Here is a 24,110-nt window from a genome sequence, read left to right as displayed (position 1 = left end):
TAGATATTTTCAAACCTTCTCTATAGGGTGTGTATCATTTTTGCATTTGCGCCAACATTGTACAGGTTGAGTATTCCTTATCCAAAATGCCTAGAACCAGAAGTATTTTGGATTTTGGAATATTGGCATATAGATGAGATATCTTGGAGATAGGACCCAAATCTAAACACAAAAATTCATTTATGTTTTATATACACCTTATACACATAGCCTGAAGGTAATTTTATGCAATTTTTAAATAATTTTGTTCACGGAACAAAGTTTGTATACATTGAATCATCAGAAAGTGAAGACGTTACTATCTTAGCCATCCATGTAAACAATCTGTGGTTGTTTGACATCACTGTCATTCCTGATTCTGAATTTATATAAGCAATCGTTTTCTTACACTAATTCACACATAAGTACTTAGTAAAAAATGTAACATACATATCCATGTATGTATGTCATACATGTACAGAAAAGATACATCACAGCTGAAGGGGGCTAGGAAGGTCTCTTTTCCCTTGGGGGCACTGAATAAATAAACTGCATTGTGTACCTGCGTTTTTACTGCAACCTGTCCCATGAGGTCAGGTGTGGAATTTTTCACTTTTGGCATCATATCAATGCTCGAAATGTTTCAGATTTTGAAGTATTTTGAATTTCAGATTTTTGCCTTGCTTTTTGGGACGGAGTCTCACTCTGTTGCCCATGCTGGAGAGCTGCGGCACAATCTTGGCTCACTGCAACCTCTGCCTCCTGGATTCAAGCAATTCTCCTGCCTCACCCTCCCAAGAAGCTGGGATTACCAGCACCTGCCACCATGCCCAGCTAATTTTTGTATTTTTAGTAGAGACAGGGTTTTACCATGTTGGCCAGGGTGGTCTCGAACTCTTGACCTCAAGTGATCCTCCTGCCTTTGCCTCCCAAAGTGCTGGGATTATAGGCAGCAAAGTGAGATACCGTACCTGGCCAAATTTCAAATTTTTGGATTAGGAATGCTCAACCTGTATGAGAAAGGATACTTTTTCCCCAACTTTGCCAACAAAGTGTATAGTGTATAGTTACGCTTTGTAATTTGTGCCTGTCTGATGGCTGAGAAATTGTATATTAATGTAACTTTAATTACATTCCATCATTATGAATAAAACTCAACATTTTTTCATATATTTAAGAATCATTTTTATACCTTGTGAATTATCTATTCTTTTTTAAAATTATTTTTCTATGGTGTTTTTCCCCTCAAAGTTTAAGTTTTTAACATATATATATATAGATATATATGGAGTATTAGCCAAATATTGCAGATTTTTCTCTTGATTTCTTTGTTGAATTTGCATTTATATTTTTTGCCATGAAAAGATTATTTTTATTTAGTTCAATTTGTCATTCTTTGATTACATCTGGATTTTGGGTCATAGTTAAAATGCTTTTCTCTACATCTAGGTTATGGAGGTATTCACCTATGATTTTTTTTTCTTATTCCTTTTTCCACATGTTCTAATTACCTATGATTTTTTAGTACTTCTATATGTCCATTTTTGTATATCTGTGATTTATTTGGAGTTTATTTTTATGTATGGTGTGAGGAATAGATTTTGTCTTTTTCCACATGACTATGCAGCCATTTGAAAAGTTGTTTGTTCTTTTTTGCTTGAGAATGGTGTGTATGAATATTTTCTATGTTTTACAAGTTGATAAGAATTTGTCTTTAGCTTTTATGTTTGAAGGATAGTTTCACCTAATATAAAATCCTTAGCTCATACTTTTTCTCCTGATGAGCATCTTGTTTATGTTGGTGTTTGTCTATTATGTCCTGTAACTTATCCAGAATGTTAGAATTCAGTGATTTTTTTCATTGCTAAACATTGCTTTTTCAATATTTAGATTTAAGTCTTTTAGTTCTTAAAAAATTTGTTGAATTTTACTTTAAAATATTTTGTTTCATTGTTTTGGTTTTTTTTTGAGGTCTTTAGTTATGTTGAATATCTATATCTTCTCTAGTTATCATTTTGTCTAACCATTTTGTCTTTTTTTTTCATTTTGCTTGATTTTCTCATTTATGTTCTTTATTTCCATCTATGTGTTTTCCACATTTCTCTTTTCTCCTATGCATCTTCTCATTTTGTCTTCATATCTGTGTGTGTTCTTTTTAGGAGGAGGTTCTAGCCCTCCTACCTTCCCGTCTGTGGGTTCTCTTGCTTTACCTACTCCTCTTGTTTGATTATTACCTTCTTTTGTGTATCTATTCTTTCAGTTCTTTTATGTCTGCTTTGAGGTATTCCTTCCTGGTAGCACTTGTCTAATGTTCGTGTTTGTTTGTTTGTTTGTTTTTATTCTTTAAGACAGGCTCTTGCTCTGTCACCCAGGCTGGAGTGCAGTGGTACAATCATGGCTCACTGCAGCCTTGAACTTCTGGGTTCAAGTGATCCTGTGCCTCACCCTCCTGAGTAGCTGGGACCACAGGCACATGCCACCATACCTGGCTAATTTTTATTTTATTATTTGTAGAAACAGAATCTTGCTATATTGTCCAAGCTGGTCTCTAATTCCTGGACTCAAACGATCCTCTCATCTTGGCCTCCCAAAGTGCTGGGATTATAGGTGTGAGCCAATACAACTGGCCTCTTGTTTTGTTTTAATTTATGGTGTTCAATTATAATTTTCATCTGCTTTGTGGCAACACTGTTCTAATAAGTTTTCTTTGTCTGTAGGAGAGTTTTGCTGTTCTTTTTCATATTTTCCCCATAAATATCTGGATGCTGTGCCAGCGCGTTTTTTGTTACTTATTTTTTTAATTAGTTGAATTTTCCTGGGCCAGTTATTTGAAGGAGAATGGGAAGGGTAGCTGTGGGAGCCTCGACCAGGGTTGCCTTTCATGCTAATTCAGTTATAGGCTTGCCACAGTAATAGGCTGTTGCCTTTTGTAATAGCACTCTGAGTAGCCATGCCATCTCTGCCTCTTTGATCTTATCTTGTTTAGGACAGGGGAGGGTGGATTCTAATGCTGGCTTGAGTTCTTTTTTTCTTTTATTGGCATCTGTCACTGAAGGAAACCTTTCTTCCAGTGTGACCCCTTCCCTTTTTGAAGGTGTGTATTTGCTAGTATTCTCTAAGATCTGCCACCTCTAGGCCGTACCAGGGCATTTGTTCACACACTGTCTCTGCCTCCTCTAGGGCTTGGACCTTGTTCCTTCCCTGTCAGGATAGCACTTTCTTATTCCGTACCACCCTTTCATTCTGGGAGTGTAATTTGCCTGGAAATTTATGAAATTGACTGCTACTAGGCCCCCTTAGTACTCTCTGCCCCTCCCTGTTCTTCCCAGTTAAATCTGTTTGAGATTCTACTGTTATGTTTTTTACGTGTGGTGTATTTTTTACGTAATATTTTGTTTATATAATAGGCAGTACCAAGAAGCAAGAGAGACCTATCTTGATCTGGATAGTAAAGTGAGGACTTTAAAAAAGTTTATTAAATTACTGGGAGAAATCATGGAGCACAGATTCAAGACATATCAACAATTTAGAAGGTAAGTACATTGAAAAATGTTACTATATATTATACATTTTTGTGTTTCTCTGTTTTCATATTATTTATATAATTCTGTTATAGCAGAGACTATTAATGCTTGCTTTGTTATTCAGTTCTTAGGATTCTCTAATTTAATCAGACAATTCCGAATCTGAAGGGCTCTTTATGGTGAGCTTATCCAACTTTTCCACTCTGTTAGATATTCTTTATGCTTAATAGGTCTTTTATGCTTAAATAGGTCCTTTGAAAGGGAACTCATTGGTTCTAAAATAGCTTATTTTACCCTTGACTATTGCATGTTTTTAATGGATACAAGCATTTGGTAGGAACTATAAAGGTAATACCTCAGTTGATTTACCATAATCTACTAGAATGACGTAGCTCCATGAATGTAGAAACTCTGTTTTGTTTACTGCTGTATCTCTAGTTTCTATAATCATACCTGATACATACCAATATACATTGGTTGGATAAATGAATACAGAATTAGGGAAACTGGATATTAACATATCCAGAGATGTACAGACTCACAGAGATAGATTGACTCCAACTGATCACAAGTGACAGAAATAAACAGAGGATAATTGATAGGGAGGGACGGTCCTTTAATATACATGAATCCGAGACAGCCCTAGTCCTTCCATTTGCCTCTGTTTTTCTCCAGGCAAATTCCCTCAGTAATACACTTTTTAAAACTGTCTTTACACCAAAAATTCTACCATCTTAAGCTTGTACAAATTAAAAAAAAAAAAGGTACCTAGCTCTTATATTCCTTAGTGAAACTACAGGTTAGTTTTTGAAATTCCTGTTTCAGTTTTACAGGCATATTAGTAGGGCTTGAATTAAATAGGACCCATTTTTACCCTTTTGAGGCTACTTTTAGCCTTGTTAGATGAGATTAGAGCAGCCGTTGGTTGTGGGCTAATTTTTTCCTACCTCTGAGGCAGTGCTATTTTGAGTACTCTACCGATACCTTGTAAATCACAAGGTTTTCACTCTGGCCAATAAGAACATGAACTATTCCTGGTCGTGTGTGAGCTGTCGGAATTACTTCTATTTCCTTTGGATATTTCTTTTCCCAGCCTCAAATGGTGTCCTCACACCTATGCACTGACCAGTACTCAGCTCAAGACTGGAGCAGAACCCTTTATAGATCCTCTGGAGTTTATTTTGCCTCCCCAGATTCCCAGCTCCAGCTCCTGAAACAAGAGCAACAGCTCCACTTTGATTTCTACTCCTTTGTCCTCTGTCGGTGAAGAGCAGTGTGGGGCATTGGTGGGGTTCAATTTGTTTCCTAGAACTAGCAGGCAGTTCTAGTCAAATGACCTGATAGTCACTATCTGATAGCCAGAGTGTGAAAACCCTCAGAGTTTGGAAGAAGTTAATTTCAACCCCCTTGGATGTCCTTGAGGGATTCAGTGGAGGAAGTGACTGCAGATATGGTGGAAGTGGCAAGAGAACTAGAATTAGATGTGGAGCCTGAAGATAGCCAGAGTCTGAAAATGCTTGTTTTATATATTTTGTCTCGTTTTTTAGTTTCAGGCAGAAGAATAAACCCAATCTCTATTACTACATAAATCTGTTCCAGATGCAGTAAGATTTATTTTTATATCATTACTCAGAAATTTGTATTTAAAAGGTTTTTTTAAAGTACTGATCTTACAGTTTACAGGCATACCTCATTTTACTGCAGTTCACTTTACTGCACTTTACAAATATTTCATTTTTTACAAATTGAAGGTTTATGGCAAGCCTGCTTCAACCAAGTCTGTCAGCACCATTTATCCAACAGCATATGATCCCTTTATGTCTCTGTGTCATATTTTGTTTAATTTTTGCAATATTTCAGACTTTTTCATTATTATTAATCTGTTGTAGTGATCTGTCATCAGTGATCTTTGTTACTGTTCAAATTGTTTTCGGGTGCCACAGACTGCCCATATAAGACAGCAGACTTCATCAACAAATGTTGTGTGTGTTCTTCCTGCTCCACTGACTGGCTATTGATTCCCTCATCTCTCTGTCCCCTTGGGTCTCCCTATTCCCTGAGACACAGCAATATTGAAATTAGGCTAGTTAATAGCCTTACAGTGACCTCTGAGTGTCCAAGTGAAAGGAAGAGTAGGATTTCTATCACTTTAAATCAAAAGCTAGAAATGATTAAGCTTAGTGAGGAAGGTATGTCAAAAGCCAAGATAAGCCAAAAGCTAGACCTCTTGTGCCAGTTAGCCAAGTTGTAAATGCAAAGGAAAAGTTCTTGAAGGAAATTAAAAGTGCTATTCCAGTGAATACACTAATGATAAGAAAATTAAACAGCCTTATTGTTGATATGAAGAAAGTTCCAATGGTCTGGATAGAAGATCAAAGCAGCTACAACATTCCCTTAAGTCAAAACCTAATCCAGAGCAATGCCTTAACTCTCCAATTCGATGAAGGCTGAGAAAGGTGAGGAAGCTGCAGAAGAAAAGTATGACGCTAGCAGAGGTTTGTTCATGAGGTTGAAGGAAAGAGGCCGTCTTTGTAATATAAAAGTGCAAGGTGAAACAGCAAGCGCTGATGTAGAAGCTGCACATTATCCAGAAGAACTGACTAAGATAACTGATGAAAGTGGCTACACTAAACAATGGATTTTCAACACAGACAAAACAGCCTTGTATTAGAAGATACGATCTACGGCTTTCATAGCTGGAAAGGAGAAGTCAATTCCTGGCTTTGTAGGACAGGCCAAATCTCTTATTAGAGGCAAATGAAGCTAGTGACTTTAAGTTTAAGCCAATGTTTATTTACCATTCTGAAAATCCTAGGACCCTTAAGAATTGTGCTAAATCTACTTTGTATGTGCTCTACAAATGGAAAAACAAAGCCTGATGAGAGCACATCTGTTTATAGTATCATGGATTACTGAATATTTTAAGCCCACTATTGAGTCCTACGGCTCAGAAGAAAATATTTCTTTGAAAATGTTACTGCTCATTGACAGTACACCTGGTCACCCAAGAGCTGATATGATATACAAGGAGATTAATGTTGTTTTCTTGCCTACTAACATCTATTCGTAACCCATAGATCAAGGAGTAATTTTAACTTTCAAGTCTTTTATTTGAGAAATATATTTTGTAAGACCATAGCTGCTGTACGTAGTGATACCTTTAATCGATCTGAGCAAAGTAAATTGAAAACCTTCTGGAAAGGACTCATCATTCTAGATAGCATTAAGAACATTTATGATTCATGGGAGGAAGTCAAAATATCAACAACAGTGTAAACAAAACTTTTGTATGCAGTGGGAAACCAAAAAATGTGTGTGACTCACTTTATTGCAATATTCGCCTTTTTTGTGGTAGTCTGGAACTGAACCTGCAGTATTTCTGAAGTATGCTGTATTACCTTCATATGATTCTTCACCACTGACATATTTCATATTGTTTACCCAGTCTTAGAAGGGGAGTAAAAATGACCTAATTTTTAAAATTGTTTATGTCTTTACTCTGGAGAACTTTGCCATTTTATGACAACAGTCTCTTTTAGACATCCCATGAATGGAAGCAATGAATGAATACATATCTGTATTGAAAGAAAAGTTAACAGAAAACTCTGAAAACCAGCTAGCAGTGGTTGCTGTGGCAGCAGAAGGAAACTCAGGCTATCAGTGATTTCTAGTGTGGGAATTTAATGCAGTTCAGGGAGGGAAATAGGAAGGAAAAGAGTACCAGAGAAATGAGCCTTAGGTTTACTAGGGAGCAAAGATGTTATGAAACCACAGCCAGTGACTTACCATGCAGATTTTATTTTCTAAATACCATTCCCCACTAAAAGGAACCAGGGCTCCATGGAGAAATGGCGATTCCAGAGCTGGGCAGGGAAGGTACAGATGAGCCTCATACTATGGCAGAGAGGAAGGAAGGGCTGAGAAAAAAAAGGGGGGACACATCCAGCTTGAAGGGGTGCCCATTGGAAAAATCTAGGACAGTCTGAGGATCTCAATAAGGATAGTAATAGATGGTGTGAATAATGTAAAAATAAAGCCAATGAATATCAGACTCCCTAATCTATTCTGATAAATAGAAAGTTAGATAAGGAAATAAAGAACTGAGGAAGAAGGGAAAGTTCCTTACAGTAAAATGCCATCTAATATATAGAGAAGGAAAGATAGAGTTTGCATTGTGCCAAGCAAAGTGTAAGGCATTAGAGGTACCCAGTGCTTAAGAGAGTGCCCTTAGCTTTTTTGCTACTGTGAAGTTAGAAGGAGGCAAATAAATAGATACTTTGTCCATTTATCTTGTCACCATTACAGTTAATCCTCTCAAGGACAAGATACCTTTATAATGTATTAGGGTAATGCCTTAGATTATTAATTAGTTGAATGACTGATGCATTCCTAAGCACTGACTGTGGTATAATGGGTTATATTAAATGTGAGATGACTCTTTAATTCATTTCATTAATTTTTTTGTTATAAAAGTAAATGAACTGGTGAAAGTGTAGGGACATAAATGAATATAAAGACACAAGGCAAAAAATACTACCTAAAACTCAACTATTAAATGAGTAACCAATGTTTACATTTTGGCATATTTCCATCTGGTTTTCTCACATGCTTAGATCATGCTGAATATAGTTTTTAAAAAACCTTTGCCCTCTTTTTAATGTGCCTAATTTTTAAATTTCAAGGTGTTTGACTTTACGATGCAAATTATACTTTGACAACTTACTATCTCAGCGGGCCTATTGTGGAAAAATGAATTTTGACCACAAGAATGAAACTCTAAGTATATCAGTAAGTATCCTAATTCTTTTCATCCTAATCATTAGAAAAACTAGTTGTTTCTTTTCTTTTCTATTTTTGTTGGGTTTTTTTTAGAGGCAGAGTCTTACTCTGTTGCCCAGGCTGGAGTGCAGTGGTACAATCATAGCTCACTGTAACCTTGAACTCATAGGCTCAAGCGACCCTCCTGCCTCAGCCTCCCAAGTAGCTAGGAGTATAGGTGCATGCCACCATGCCCAGCTAATTTTTTTTTTTTTTTTTTTTCCGTATAGACAAGGTCTCACTATGTTGCCCAAGCTGGTCTTAAACTCCTGGCCTCAAGCAATTCTCCTGCCTTGGCCTCCCAAAGTGCTGGGATTATCGGTGTGAGCCACCATGCCCAGCCTGCTGCTTTTCTTTTGATAAAACATTGATAAACTTTAACCTGTTGTCTTTGATTTTTAAGTTAAGGATGGTCTTTGCCAAGGTGTTGAATTTAAATCGATCTTACTAAATAAAGCTGCTAGCGTAGATTTTATTTTTAGACAAACACATTATTTTCTTAGGGTGATAATTGGGAAGTTTTTTTCAGTGACAAGTATTTACCTTGTCTTTCTACTCCACTAGTTCCCTTTTAAAATTTACACAGCATTTTAAATTATTTGGGACTTTATGGAAAGTACATAGTCTCCAGTCTCCTAAAAGGAAGCAAAGATGGTTCTTCCCCACTTAATTGTGTTTATACTATTTACTTCTGAAGTTGTCCCTAGATCTGGCCACTTTTGAGTAAAAAAAACTGCCGTGTTCAACTTGATTTGATGGGTTCTTTCATAGTCATGTGTTAAAAGAGGGCATATGGAGATATGGCATTAAAAAAAATGTGTAGCCAGGAGGTCAGGAACAACTATCCACTCTAAATATTCTGGGGCAGAATTTTCAAATAATTACCTACTACTCTTAGTTACCATAAATCTTATCCTTTCATTTTAATACTTACAATAAATGTTAAATTTTTGGAACATCTTTTTTGTTTAAAAGCTCTGCATTTTAACCATATTAGAAAGTTAACTTTTACTCTCTCTTTAATTTCTACTGGTAGATCATGGGTAACTCCTCTTTACCTGCCTTTGGTTTTTAAAAGACCCATTTATTAAAGATACAATTTTGAAAGTATTGGGAGGAATTGTGCTTATTGATAGGGAAGGTAGTATGTCATGGTAGTCTATTGTTCTCACTGCAGACTATAAAAAAGCCAGGGAAATTACAAAACTTTTATTTTTAAAGACATTGGAAAGCTGTCTAAGCAATAATGAGTAGACAAATTGGAATTCCAAGGGATAGGGGAGCCTGTCCAAGGTAAGCTGACAATTGCTGGACGTTTTCTTTCCTGGGAGTGTTTGCTGATTCTGGACTTTGAGTAGTCTAGTAGTAGTAGGAGGGCTGACAAGACAGAGTAGAAACTTGGGAAGGGAACTGCTAGGCACCTAACTAATATTTCAGTTAGTCAATTCCTGAGTTCTGATGTTGTGCACAGTTGGCCCAAGGAACAGTTATGAATGATAAATGGACTAAGTCTTAGGAAAGTTGCAATTTAAGCCCAACCCAGCTTTCTCCCTTATTGACTGTGAGCCCTATCATACCTCAAGCCTAATATAAGGAAAGGGGGCCCCTCTTTAGTGAAATATTGTACGTTTGGAGACGCCATTGTTCTTTTACACAAAATATCAAGCATAAGGTAATAAAGACTGCGTGCTTACCCCTAAGATCAGGAAGAAAGCAGTTCTGTCCACGCTCACCATTTATATTCAGAAGTAGAACTAAAGGTTCTAGCCAGTGCAGTTAGCCCAGAAAAAGAACTAAAGGCATGTATATTGGAACAGAAGAAGTAAAATTCTTCTGATCCACAAATAATATGGTTATCTCTGCAGAAAATCTGATGGAATCTACAAAAAGAGCTACTAGAACTAGTTGAAGTCATAACTAGCAAGGTTGCAGACACAATCAGTATGCAAAAATTAATTACATTTCTATGTACTTGCACCAAATGATTAGAAATTGAAATTTTAAAAAATACTATTTATATTAGCATCAAAAATATAAACTACCTAGGGAAAAATCTGCCAGAGATATTTAAGACCTGTACACTGAAAACTACTAAAATAGATGCTGAGAAGCTAAAGAAGACCTAAATAAGTGGAGAGATATAGGGTGTTGTTAGATCAGAAGACTCAGTATTATTAAGAAGTAAGTTCTTCCCAAATTGATATACAGACTGCCTCAACTCAATTTTCATTAAAATGCCAGCAGACGTTTTTGTAGAAATTGACAAGCTGATCCTAAAATTCATATAGAAATGCAAAGGGCCTAAAATAGCCAAAACAACTTTGAAAATGAAGAATAAAATTGGAAGACTTATCAAATTGTACACTTTAAATATATGCAGCTTATTATATTTCATTTATATTTAAAGCTGTAAAAATTGCCACATATATGAAGAAGCATGGAAAGGTGATTGATAATTTTTTTTAAAGTAGGAAATAGAACCAGACTACCAGATGATAATTACAAGAGAAAGCAGACTAGTATTTTTAACCATGATTAATTTGTTAAAGAACATAGAGTTAATCATAAACAAAATGGACAAAACAGATCCAGAGTTTCAACATAGAATTGGAATCCACAATTTCAATACAGAATTGGAAGCTACAAGAATATTCTAAAACTGAAAAGTGCAGCATCTGAAATTAAGAACTCATTGGATGGATTTAACAGCCAACTGGACACAACAGAAGACACAATTAACAAATCAAGGCAGGTCGAAAGGAAATATCTAAATTGAACAGCATAAAAACAGAAAACACTGAACAGAGTTTGAGATATGAGGAGCACAACCAGCAAGTTTAACATAATTGGAGTCCCGATAGGATAGAACAAAGAATGAGCAGAAAGAATATTTGAAGAGAGAATGTTTGAGAATTTTCAAAACTGAAATACATCAATCTAGATTCAGAAACCTCAGCAACCTACAAGTGAGGTAAATATAAAGAAAACCATACCTGAAATTTATATGATAGTCAAATAGCTGAAAACCAAAAACAAAGAGGTAACCTTACCTTTTTGTAAGTAGCAAGAGAAAAAATATGCATTAGTTTCGAAAGAGCAACAATAAAACCAAAGGCAGAGTTTTTAACAGAAATTGTGAAGGTAAATGTTACCTGACAGACTTTAAAGTGCTAGCAGAATTGGTTTTAAAAACTGATATCTAGAATTCAATAACTAGCAAAACTACCTTTCAAAAATGAGGATGAAACATCTTAGTTTTCAGACAAACAAAAGCTGAAATAATTATTCTTCAGTATGCTTGGCCTACAAGAAATACTAAAGAACATCTTCAGATGAAAGAAAAATGGTCACAGATGGAAACATGGAAATGCAGAAGGAACAGAGAGGAATGCAAAAGGTAAATCTATGGGTAAATACAAAACAGTTTCAGCCGTCTAAATCAACAATAATAATATTGCTGAATAGACACCCAAGTCTTGAGGGGCTTAGAAGCTGTAAAAGTCAAATATATGACAATAGCACAAAAAGGGAATAGAAGTACATGGAGTTCTAAACTGTTGTAAGGTTCTTATACTTTTCAGGAAGTAATACCAATACTAATTTAAGATAAACTAATACATCAGCAATACATATTGCAATCTCTAGAGTAACCACTGAATTTTAAAAGGATGTATAATTTTAAAGCTAACAGAGACCAAATAAAAGGAATGGAAAACAAAAATACTCAATTATATGAAGGCAAAAAGGGAAGAGAAATAAAGAACATATGGAACAAATTGAAAGGAGATGCATGGCTCAGATCTAGATATATCAGCAATTACATTAAGTGTAAGTGCACTAAATTATTAAATTAAAAACAGGCTGAAAAGAAAAATACAAAAACTAACTGTATGCTGTTTATCAAAATACACCTTAAATATTAACATAAGGACAGAGAAGATCCTAAGTAAAATATGGTAAAAGATACACCATGAAAACATTAGCCAAAGGGAAGCTGGTTAAGCTGTAATAATAACAAAATAGACTTTATGCAAGAAATATTACTAGAGGCCAAAAGGGCCATTTCATGGTTATAAAAGTTATTTTAAAAAATTTTTAATTTGTATATACCTAATAACATAGCTTCAAAATACATAAAAATTGGGAGAACTAAAAGGCAAAGTAAAAGAATTGACAATTACAGTTGGAAATTTTAATAAACTTTTCTCAATAATGGATAGAACAATCAGATTAAAAGTCAGTAAGGCAATATAAGATTTAAATTACACAACCAAATTAATTGGCAGAACTATAGAACATTGTGCCAAACTACCACAGAGTGTATATTGTTTTGAAGTACATGTGGAACATTTACCAAAATAGACCATTTCCTGGCTATAATGCAAATGTCAACAAATTTCAAAGGATTGATGTCATACAGAATATATTGTAAAGTGGAATTAAATTAGAAATAACAGATAACCTTAAAACTTAATGAATGTTAGAAAATTAGGCAGCACATTTCTATGTAATCTGTAGGTCAAAAAAGAAATCAAATAGAAATTAGAAGATAATTTTGAATCAAACAACAATAAAAAGAAAACATCAAAACTTGTATGATACAGCCATAGGATTTCTCAGAAGGGAATTTATAGCTCTAAATATATACATTAGTAAAAATGGAGGGCTGAACATTAATGATCTAAGTTCTATCTCAGGATGCTAAAAGGAAAAAAGCCTATTATAAATTCAAGTAGAGAGAAGGATACAGTGATATAAGAGCAGAAATTGGAGAGTAGAAAGCAAATGTACAATAGCAATGAAACAATAGACACCTGAGGAGGACCTTACCTGTGTGCATAAATCATACATATATGTAATGACAGGACTCCACTGCAAGCCTGTGGAAGAGGGTGGTCTTCTCATGAATGGTGTTAGGTTCAAATTGTTGGATATCCTTTTGGTAAAATAAACAGTAAGCGGCCGGGCGTGGTGGCTCATGCCTATAATCCCGGCACTTTGGGAGGCTGAGGTGGGTGGATCATCTGAGGTGGGGAGTTTGAGACTAGCCTGACCAACATGGAGAAACCCCATCTCTACTAAAAATACAAAATTAGCTGGGCATGGTGGCACATGCCTGTAATCCCAGCTACTCGGGAGGCTGAGGCAGGAGAATCGCTTAAACCCGGGAGGCGGAGGTTGCAGCGAACCGAGATCACACCATTACACTCCAGCCTGGGCAATAAGAGCGAAACTCTGTCTCAAAAAAAAAATTTAAAAAAAAAAATTTTTTTTTAAATAATAAACAGTAAGCAAAGTTTGACCCCCTAACTTTATATACAAAAAGTAATTTAGAAGTTGATCATAGACCTAAATTTAAAACAAGCTTCTAGAGGAAGAGAATGTCTTCATGTTTTTTTGAATGGGACACAAAAAGCAACCTACTCAAAAGAAAAGATTGATAATTTGGACTTTATTAAAATTAAGAACTTCATCAAAAAGTAACATTAAGTGATAAAAGAAGCTACAGACTAGGAAAAGATATTTGTGATGCATACATGCAACAAAAGACTTACCTAGAATTAAAAAATAGTAAGAAAGAGACTGACATCACATTTAAAATAGTCAAAAGGCTTAAATAGAAACCACTTTAAAGTATCTAAATGGTGAGTAAACACATGAAAAAGCGCTGTTAGTCATCAGAGAAATATTATTTATACCACAGTAAGTTACTGTCACACCGTTATGATGATGATGAAAATGAACAAGACTGGCAATATTTTGTGCTGGTGAGGATGTGGAATTGCAACTCTCATATATTGCTTGTGGGAGTGTAACTTGGTCAAACTAATTTGGAAACCTCTCTGTCGATGTCTGTTAAAGCAGCTCCATTCTTGGGCATAAACCCAAGAAAAAATTAGTGCTTATTTTCTCAAACAGATATATTTGAAAATGTTCAAAGAAGTTTTATTTATCATAGCCCAAAACTGAGAAACCCAGTGTCTACCTAGAGTCAAATGGATAAATTCGGGTATATTCAAACAGCGACATACTGTTCCGTAATGAAAATAACAAACTGCTGTTGCACACAACATAGATGATCTGACAATGGCGAGTGAGAGAAGCCAGTTACAAGGATGTACATAGTGTATATAAATCTGAAGTATATGTACAAAAGAGTATGTGTAACCTCTACATATGAAGTTCAGAAACTGTTAAGAGTGATTTTGGGTGATTAAAATCAGAATAATAGTTACCTTTTCAGGGATGGTAATATACAAATAGTTTGCTTAGATGCTGGGGATATTCTTGTGTCTTGATCTCAGTAGTGGTTACCCAGGTGTGTGTATGTATTCATGTAAAAATTGAGTTGTACACTTTTGTGTTCTTTATAAAAACTATTACTGTAATAAAAAAATGGAGAAAAAAAAGTATTAGAAGTGCTTGAATAATTTATCTCCACAGCTAACTATACAAAACAACTCAAGCTAGACTTTCTGATGTTGTCATCTCTGTTTTTCAAAAGAATACCAGAAGAATCTTTAATTTATGTGGCCTTCATTTTACTAATAAGGAAAGTGACACTGAAGTTCCATGATATGTTAGTAATAGATGAGAGGGTAAAAGCTAGATCCCCCAGATTTACTTGGGGCTTCATTTATTAAATTGGTGCAAAATACAGTGTGGGGGCAAGATTGCATCTTGGTATTTAGTTCTTGCTTTTTTATATGGGAATTTTTATTTGCTTGATTGTTGGTTTGGTTTGTTTAGACTTATGATAGGTGTAAAATTTTAGAGTATGTTTAGAATTGGAATATTTACCTTAGAATATTAATAATGTTAATATTAAAAAATAAATGAATGCTCACTTGAGAGCAGTATCACTTTTCAAACAGTGAATTGAAAAGTATTGGAAGCTATATGTCTGCTATTGATATGAAACTAGTTGTTGCTCTTTTTTCACCTTGTATGCATATATGTATATCTGGAATTTTGTCAAAAAAATAGAACCCTTCCTAATGTTATTGTATATTCTCAGGAAATTGTGTGAATGATTTGCTGTTAATTTTATTAGTTGCTTTCTTATTGTTTCCATGGACCTTTATTTAGTAAATAATTTTTTAAAGATTTTATTTAGCTTTTAAAAGAAATTTAAAATTATTTAAATTTTAAAAGATTTTATTTAGAATTCAAAATAAATACAATACAAAAGAAATTTTTTTTTTTTTTTTTTTTTTTTTGAGACGGGGTCTCGCTCTGTCGACCAGGCTGGAGTGCAATGGCATGATCTTGGCTCACTGCAACCTCTGTCTCCCAGGCTCAAGCAATCCTCCCACCTCAGCCTCCCAAGTAGTTGGGACCACAGGAGTATGCCACCATGGCCAGCTAGTTTTTGTATTTTTGTGTGTGTGTGTGTGGAGATGAGGTTTCCCCATGTTGCCCAGGCTGGTCTCGAACTTCTAGGGTTCCTTTAAAGGATTCCTAAAGCAATCCTTTAAATCTTTTAAAAGATATATTTCAATGCATTTCTTTGGCCAGTGTAAGCTTTTTAAAGTTGATTTCTGTCCTTTTGACGTTCAGTAATCACTTTTAATGCAGCTTAACCACTAGGTGTCACTATAATTCAAGTAACAAAAAATCTCAGCACTTTTAAATGTTTGAAGCTTAAGTTTCAGGGTTAGGTGTGGTGGCTTACACCTGTAATCCCAGCACTTTGGGAAGCTGAGATGGGAGGATTGCTTGAACCGAGGAGTTCAAGACCAGCCTGGGCAACATGGAGAAACCTCAACTCCACCCAGAAAAAAAAAAAAAACACAAAAATTAGCTGGCCGTGGTGGCATACTCCTGTGGTCCCAACTACTTGGGAGGCTGAGGTGGGAGGATTGCTTGAGCCTGGGAGACAGAGGTTGCAGTGAGCCAAGATCACACCATTGCACTCCAGCCTGGTTCAACAGAGCGAGACCCTGTTTCAGAAAAAAAATTGTTTTATTAACATTTTTTAAATTAGCCTTTGGAATTTTGGTCTGTTAGATTCAGTTATGGTGAAAAAGGTTTTCAGTTTTATTCTCTTGCAGTAGAGCAAGAAGTACCATTATACGTATAACTGTTTTACTGTAAAATTTTTTGAAAGGAATGGGTATTTCCAAATCACTAAGTCATTTTATTCCCATCTCCTTTTTACTGTAAATCTATTATTTATCTGTCTTGTAAAGAATTTAATCTGGCCTTTCATTTACTTAGTTTTTTGTTCCTTGTCAACTCATTCTCTTCAAGGTTCAGCCTGGAGAAGGAAATAAAGCTGCTTTCAATGACATGAGAGCCTTGTCTGGAGGTGAACGTTCTTTCTCCACAGTGTGTTTTATTCTTTCCCTGTGGTCCATCGCAGAATCTCCTTTCAGATGCCTGGATGAATTTGATGTCTACATGGTATTGTTAAATTTTAAATTCTCTTTTTCATTTTTTTGTTTGTTTGAAACATGTATTTCTAAAGGAAGGAAATCTTTCTTTAGTTTTACCCCTAACAGGAAAGATCCTGCCCTGACTCTTTAGTCTGTGACCAGTAGTGGGGAAGAACTAAAGAACTAGAGTTCTCTCCCTTGCTTCTAGGCACACAGTAACCCTAGAGACCCTGGAGGGGTCCTCCTCTTCTCGCCCAGCATGGATATCCGTGCCTTCCATCATATCTGCGTTTTCTCCCTCACCCTCTCTCCCAGCTTATTTTCATCAACCCATAAATATGTTCAGACTTTTTGTTTTAATACAAAATTATAACCTGTTCACCACCCTGGCTTTGACTCACCCTAGCCACTGTTTACTGTTCCTTCATACCCACACATTTCAGAACAATGTACAGAACATAAGCGAGCAAGAACTTTTGAATTTCCAGTTAAAAAGCATAGGATTTGAGACCTACCTCTGACAGGCAAAATATCTCTACTTATTGGGTCTCAATTTCTTCATCTACAAAACAATATTATTACCAATTCCTACCTCTCATGGTTAGAGTGAGGCTCAAATGGTGTCTTTCATACATTATACTTACTGTGGTTCAGGCATATAGTAAGTTCTCATAAATTAGCAATTATTTTCTTCTTCATATCTCATTGTTTGCTCAATCTACTGTAATCTGGATGTAGATGACACTACTCTAGCAAAACTTGTTTAGCAAAGGTTATAAATGAGCTTTAATCTTACCTTATTTTTTGAAGTATTTGACACCACAGACCTATCCTCCATCCCTTAAAATGTCTTCTTACCAGCTGCCACCCTCTCTTTCCTGGTTTTCCTGTTTTTCTATTATTTGTTCTTAATCTGCCAAGCTGCCTCCCCTAATTCTGTTGCCCTTAAACGTTTGAGATCTTTGTTTGCTTGTTATAGTGTTGTTGATTTTCCTGAATTCCATATCCTACTTCCCCCTACAAATATACACATATCACAGTCCCCAAAACTACTACCTGCGTATGGACAGATACCTATCAACTCATAGCACCACATCCTGACATCTCTCCTGTACTCTAGACCCAGATGCCCTACTACCTATTAGACATCACCTGGTAAACCACCAATATCTGAAATTCAGCAGCCCCGAGGTTGAAAGTGCCTTCATCTCAAAGCCTCTTTCTTTTCCTGAATTCCCTACCTTGATTAATGCAAACTGTCATTTCCAGCGCAGTCACCTACCTTTGACATCTGTGATTTACCTTTGATTCTTCCTTGTTCAAGTCTGACCTCTGTCCGCTTCTCCTTTAAGACCGCTCTTTGGTCTCTGCCCTCTTCTCCTTTCTCACTGATATTCTTCCTCTCATCCCCTTATCTTCGCCTCATACCTGTGGTGATAGCCTCTTCTCCGGACTCCCAGGCTTGCATGTGGCTCCTTCTTCGGTCCGTCCTCCACCATTTTGGCAGGTTTACATTTCTACAGTTGATCTGATGGTGGTCATTCACCTATGTAAAACCCTTTGGAGGTTATTATATATGGAATAAATGTTTAATTCTGTAGGGTAGCTTTGAGACCCTTCATGATATCGTACCTGCCTGCTTTTTTCAGCTGTTCTAAGCTATTTGTAATTCTCCAAACATGGTGCCTCTGCCTGGTATGCCCTCCTTAATCACATGTCACTCTACTCATCTTTCAGGACATTGTTCAAATGCCACTTTTATGAGACTTCTGTGACCACCATACCCTATCAGGCAGGATGAGGAACTTCTCAGAACTTCCTTTGCACCACCTTACATCAACTCATAATATATATTACTTTTATACTTTTATTTAAGATAAAAATATAAAAATGCTTTATATTATTATATAATATTTTATACTGTTTTTTATTCTGTTGCAGTTGCCCATTTTTATATCTGAATCCCCTACCAGATTGTAACCATTTTGAGGTTATCAGCTATGTCTGAGATGTTTATGTCTCCTAATGCCTAGTCTATAATGACCGTTTAGTAAGTGTGTATTCGTGAATCAGAATTTATACCTGTGAGTGCTGTATAATAGTTCAGTGTCAATTTTTTTCTATGATACTATTGCTGAAAATGGGTTAGATATTCCTCCAAGAATTGTCTTCAGAGCTAATCACGAGTCATAGAAGATGATTATTCTTTCCATGCAGTGTTTTTGTCCAGAATGGTGCTGTGCAGTCTTATCACTCATCTTGTATGTCAGATTTAATTCTAAGCAGCTCCTTTCTCTTTCAGAAACTTAGAGCTTCTTAATCAGAGTGGCACTTTGCCCCAATGAAATTATTCAGAAGAATGTATCCAAGTTCTGTGAGCTAATCCAAGGAAAACAAATTTTTTTTTGGTACTTTGGCAGTTTTGTTATAAAATAATAGGCCTCTCACAGCAGATATGCCTGATGGAATTGTTATAATCAGAGCCATTGAGCAATATAGCCAGGATGTGTATCCCATTTTGACTCCACAGCCCTTGTTCTAAATCACCATGCTGTATTGCCACATACAGTTTTATTTTTTATTTATTTACTTATTTTTTTCAGGACACAGTCTCGTTCTGTTACCCAGGCTGGAGTGCAGTGGCGTGATTTCAGCTCACTGCGACCTCCGCCTCCTGGATTCAATTGATCCTTGTGACTCAGCCACCTGAGTAGCTGGGATTACAGGTGTGCACCACCATGCCCGGCTAATTTTTGTATTTTTTGTAGAGACTGGGTTTTGCCATATTGGCCAGGCTGATCTCGAGCTCCTGGCCTCAAGTGATCCACCTGCCTCAATCTCCCAAAGTGCTGGGATTAAAGGCATGAGCTGCTGCGCCCGGCACCACATATAGTATTAAATTAAGACCTTTAAAATATACATGTTCATATGTCAATGATTTCAACTTTTAGGAATTTTCAAGGGAATTGAGGAACACTTTGATTTTCTTTTACTGTTACTTAACTCAGAAAATGTAGCCACAGGTCTAGACCATTTAATCCCAAAACCTATTATAACGAAGCATTATTCTTTGTCTATACCCTGATGTGCTATTTAACTTATTTAAAGATATAATTGAGAAATTGGTCTGTAAGTTCAAATTGGTTTATATTGTACAAATGGTAGAGGTAATGGGGAGAGGCAGACTTTTTAAAACTTAACCTTTATCATTGAGGGAAAATTTGAGAGACTTAATGAATTTGAGACTAGCCACTTTTGTTACCATTACCCTGACTCATTAACCATTACTGTACAAATTAGATTTATTCTCTAACATTTAGTTGTGTCAGGAGAATATTTTCTGATTATTTCAATTGCTACACGTATTTGAGGGAGGGGGCTGTGTATACAAATATTTTGACTATAGAAATTACCTGAAAGACATATTTATTCAGTTATTGTCCCCGAAGAGTTTCTCTTTTTTCCCTTAGAGATGGGCTTTCACTCTGTCATTCAGGCTAGAGTACAATGGTGCGATCATAGCTTACTATACCCTTGAGTTCCTGGGCTCAAGTGATCCTCCTGCCTCGGCCTCCCGAGTAGCTAGGATGACAGGCATGCACCACCATGCCCAACTTTTTTTTTTTTTTTGGTAGAGACAGGGTCTCGCTATTATACACAGGCTGGTCTCGAACTCCTGACCTCAATTGATCCTGTGACCTCCACCTCTCAAAGCATTGGGATTACAAACATGAGCCACTGCACCCAGCCAATTTTCTCCTAATAGTTTCTGGTATTTCTTTTCCAGTATAATAGATTTCTTGGACATCATAGATAATGTAATGACTGATCCCTGGATGAAAATCCAGGAGCTTGTATCAGCCCACAGAATGCTGCTTTTACAGAAATGTGACTTACACAATAGCAATCCTAACTTTTGCCTTTGTTTTTCAGGATATGGTTAATAGGAGAATTGCCATGGACTTGATACTGAAGATGGCAGATTCCCAGCGTTTTAGACAGTTTATCTTGCTCACACCTCAAAGCATGAGGTAACTTTTTAAAACTTTCTAGATACATATCAAGTATATAAAAGGGGGAAAGAAATCTTTTACAATTTTAATTTTTAAAATACAAATACATACAAGACCAATGAAAATAAAAATTAGCTCCCCTACTGGTTCAGGAGATTTGGGATGTTTTTCTCTTTTTGAGATATTTAAAATTTTACTTGTATTACTTCCCTTTCATAACTGAAGCAAGTTGTTACTATTCTGTTTTGAGTCTGCTTCTTTGTAGTTATCATGACAAACTAAAGTAATATAATTTTAGTAATTCTGTTTGGACTAAAATGATTTATGATTTCCCTAATCTTGCCTCTTTTCTCTTGGTGACTTACAAATGTCAATCTTTCTAAACAAAGAGCTCTACTCTGCTGTCAGTCAGTATTTATTGGGTGCCTACAATTGTCAAGCACTATGTCACTTAGAGTTAATATTCTGTCTCTAAAGTGGCCATGTGATTATATGGGGATCTAAATTTGTGATTGGGAATATCCAGGTAACTCCTTCCTTGCTAGACAATAACAGAAATTTAAAATAGTTGATATATAAATCTCTTTCATTTTCTTTTCCTCCAAACTGAAAACCCATGGGATCTAGCAGGAATTAATTTTTAAAATGGAAAACAAATTATTTCCTTATTGCAAATGATGTTTCTCCTAGAACTCTAGATATTAGATATATCCCAGATAAAAGCCAAATATTTAGCTTTATATTTTCATGAGGTAATATTAGAATTTTTTTTAATTGGTAAAAGGTTTCTTGGAAATTTGAGTAATTGATTTTGCTTCTTCTAGTTCACTTCCATCCAGTAAACTGATAAGAATTCTCCGAATGTCTGATCCTGAAAGAGGACAAACTACATTGCCTTTCAGACCTGTGACTCAAGAAGAAGATGATGACCAAAGGTGATTTGTAACTTAACATGCCTTGTCCTGATGTTGAAGGATTTGTGAAGGGAAAAAAAATTCTGGACTCTTTGATATAATAAAATGAGACTGGAGGCATTCTGAAATGAAAGAAACTCCTTTATATATCCAACCACAATCAAACATATAAATAAGCCTGGAAAACCAACTACAACCTGCAATTTAAGATTACTATTACTTTAAGAAAATCAATTTCATAGTATTGGTTTTAAATCTTTTTAAGTTTTTTTAATACGATCTATTTTTATAGGTTCTTTTTCAGAAGTAAAATTTTGTACATATATACATGTACATATCTGTTTAGTTTGGGTTCATTTCTATAACATTTTGTAAGAAAATAAAAGTTTGAGCACCTGATTATATTTAGTTTTGCTTTTCCAGATATTACATTCTATAGTTACCAAAAATGGTTGAAGGGAGGGATTTCTCATTGCAGAGGGTGGGGTGCAAGGGAATAAGACACTTGTACGGAACACTGAAGCTTTGCCAACTTCTACACATGCCTTTTTTGCAGTCCTTTAACTGTCCACCCTACCAAGAGCTTATAACCAGTATCAGAACTGGATAATGACGCAGTTTTTCACTCTGACCTCCATCATGCTTGCCTGATTTAAAAGCCCTCAGTTTGCAGTCCAGGGACTGTTCAGGCTTGTCCTCAGCTGAGAGGACACAGGCTAGAGGGACTGTGCAGAACCAGGCTGGGAGAAGGGCTGGGAAAACTGGGAGTGGAGGGTGGATCCTCATGGAGCAGGAGAGTAGCTCATGGCTCCAGGAGCCTGAGGCCATGCAGTTGATGGTGAGCTGACATCAATTCTAAGACTCATCCTAATTGAGGGGTGTTAAAAAGTGTGCTGCTTAGAATGACCAAATATAGTTATTGTAAAAAATGATATTTATGAACTTTTTATTTTAGAAAACATGAATTTTATTGCTCCCTGTATTATTTGTTTGATACTAGGATTCATGCTAAACTTTTTAAGAATGTATTGGATATCAAGAAGCATTCCTTACATTAGTAGCAATAAATATTAGAATAAATATGAAATTGAACTATTTTCAGAAAAAGGGCAGTATATTAAGAGCAGGGACTGTTCTCTAGTTATTGAGGAAAACTGGACTTTGTTTGTGTTTTTGGTGGAGGAAGAAGTTTAAGATACTTTAGTCTTAAATTGAGGTTTGCCAAATGAGAAGTTCAAAAACTTGGGCTTTCTAATCAGAATTTCCAGGAGGAGGAAAGTGTGTGCTGAATATTTTAAACATTTCCCACTGATCATACAAAGTCTGATTTTTAAATTTACACTTATAATGCCTTTGTATTAAAATTATTTTTAACATGTGCTTTTCCAAATTAAAAATGAAGTAGAGTATACCAAATGCATAAACTTTCATTAGCTAAGGAACTCATGTCTGAATTTTGTTGTAGTTTTGAATGTTGTGCTCTTTCATACAGAATGGGAAACATAATCCTCAGGTATCCCAGCATCTCTTGTTGAATTGAAGATTATTCATTGCTTTGGCCTCACAAAGTTTTGATTTCAACTATCATAAGTGAAAATATCTTCCTTTAATGTTCTAAGTAGTGATAATATTACTAGAATGAAAGAATAAAAAGAAATTGTTCTTTTAAAATATGTGTAACTTCTAAAAATAAAACTTAAAATTTATATGTATTAAGGTCATGCTTTTGTGAATTGGGGAAAGTAATTGACTAAATTGATCCTCCATGAATCGTGACCTAAATACATCACACAGGTGACTCTTCAACCCCTAGTTTGTCATCAATGCAGCTATCACTGAATGAAGTTCCAGAAAATAATAAAGGCTTACTTGGATCTTAAATCTTAACCTTCTGAAATCTTTGGGAGTAGAAATGATTAAAATCATTCTTAAAGTGACAAATGTGATGAGTTTTCATAAACCAAAGTGTAAATAATATAGTTATTCAAATTAGTGATCAACACTAAAGATTCAGTAATTGCCTTCTTAAATATTTTCCAAGTTTTCGTGTCTCATTTCTTCCATTTCCTAGTGCTTTTTTGTTTTGCGGGGGCAGGGGGGCATGTCTTCCTCATGTCTGGGCTGTTTATGAGACCAAAATGTTTAAATTCTGTGTAGAAAGCTGTTGGCTGGTAGTCATGAATTGGATTAGAAATGTTGCCGACTCTGATGAAAACCAAGTGGTCTAGAATATCTGATTAAAAGTTCTCCTGAGTGCAAACTAGATGCAGGGTGTGGGGGAGAAAATGTTTATAAACTTTGTGCTGGGGCAATACTTTTTTGGTTACATTTATGACTTAGCTATGCATCTACATGTATGCCTTCTACTTTGACCAGTTCAGATTTTCAGGAGAACTTGGTTTGAAATTTGCAGTCCTAAAAGTGTAGTTACCAGTGTTTCATGGCTTGAACTGAATGCCCATGGACTTGAAGATATATCAAAAT

The 24,110-nt window shown here is 35.7% G+C and overlaps 1 protein-coding gene across 14 annotated transcripts in view; it reads left to right on the top strand.

Moving 5' to 3' along the window:
- Positions 1–23,338, top strand: part of SMC6 (structural maintenance of chromosomes 6) — an 89,999-nt gene extending 66,661 nt beyond the window's left edge. For 8 of the 14 annotated variants that reach the window (XM_011533108.4, XM_017004913.3, XM_047445834.1 and 5 more), the window contains 6 exons: positions 3,387–3,512; positions 5,051–5,107; positions 8,186–8,291; positions 16,575–16,727; positions 20,633–20,730; positions 21,537–23,338. In XM_011533108.4, the coding sequence (XP_011531410.1) occupies positions 3,387–3,512; positions 5,051–5,107; positions 8,186–8,291; positions 16,575–16,727; positions 20,633–20,730; positions 21,537–21,651 (655 nt within the window). In that variant the 3' untranslated portion in view covers positions 21,652–23,338. The remainder of the gene's footprint in view (positions 1–3,386; positions 3,513–5,050; positions 5,108–8,185; positions 8,292–16,574; positions 16,728–20,632; positions 20,731–21,536) is intronic. The other 6 variants (XM_017004916.3, NM_024624.6, XM_047445837.1 and 3 more) reach the window with 1 other exon arrangement.
- The last annotated feature ends 772 nt before the right edge of the window (positions 23,339–24,110 follow it).

Source organism: Homo sapiens, chromosome 2 (assembly GCF_000001405.40).
Source record: "Homo sapiens chromosome 2, GRCh38.p14 Primary Assembly".
Lineage (NCBI taxonomy): Eukaryota > Metazoa > Chordata > Mammalia > Primates > Hominidae > Homo > Homo sapiens.
The sequence above is the reverse complement of the archived record's forward strand: the minus strand, read 5'-3'. Positions and strand labels throughout refer to the sequence as shown.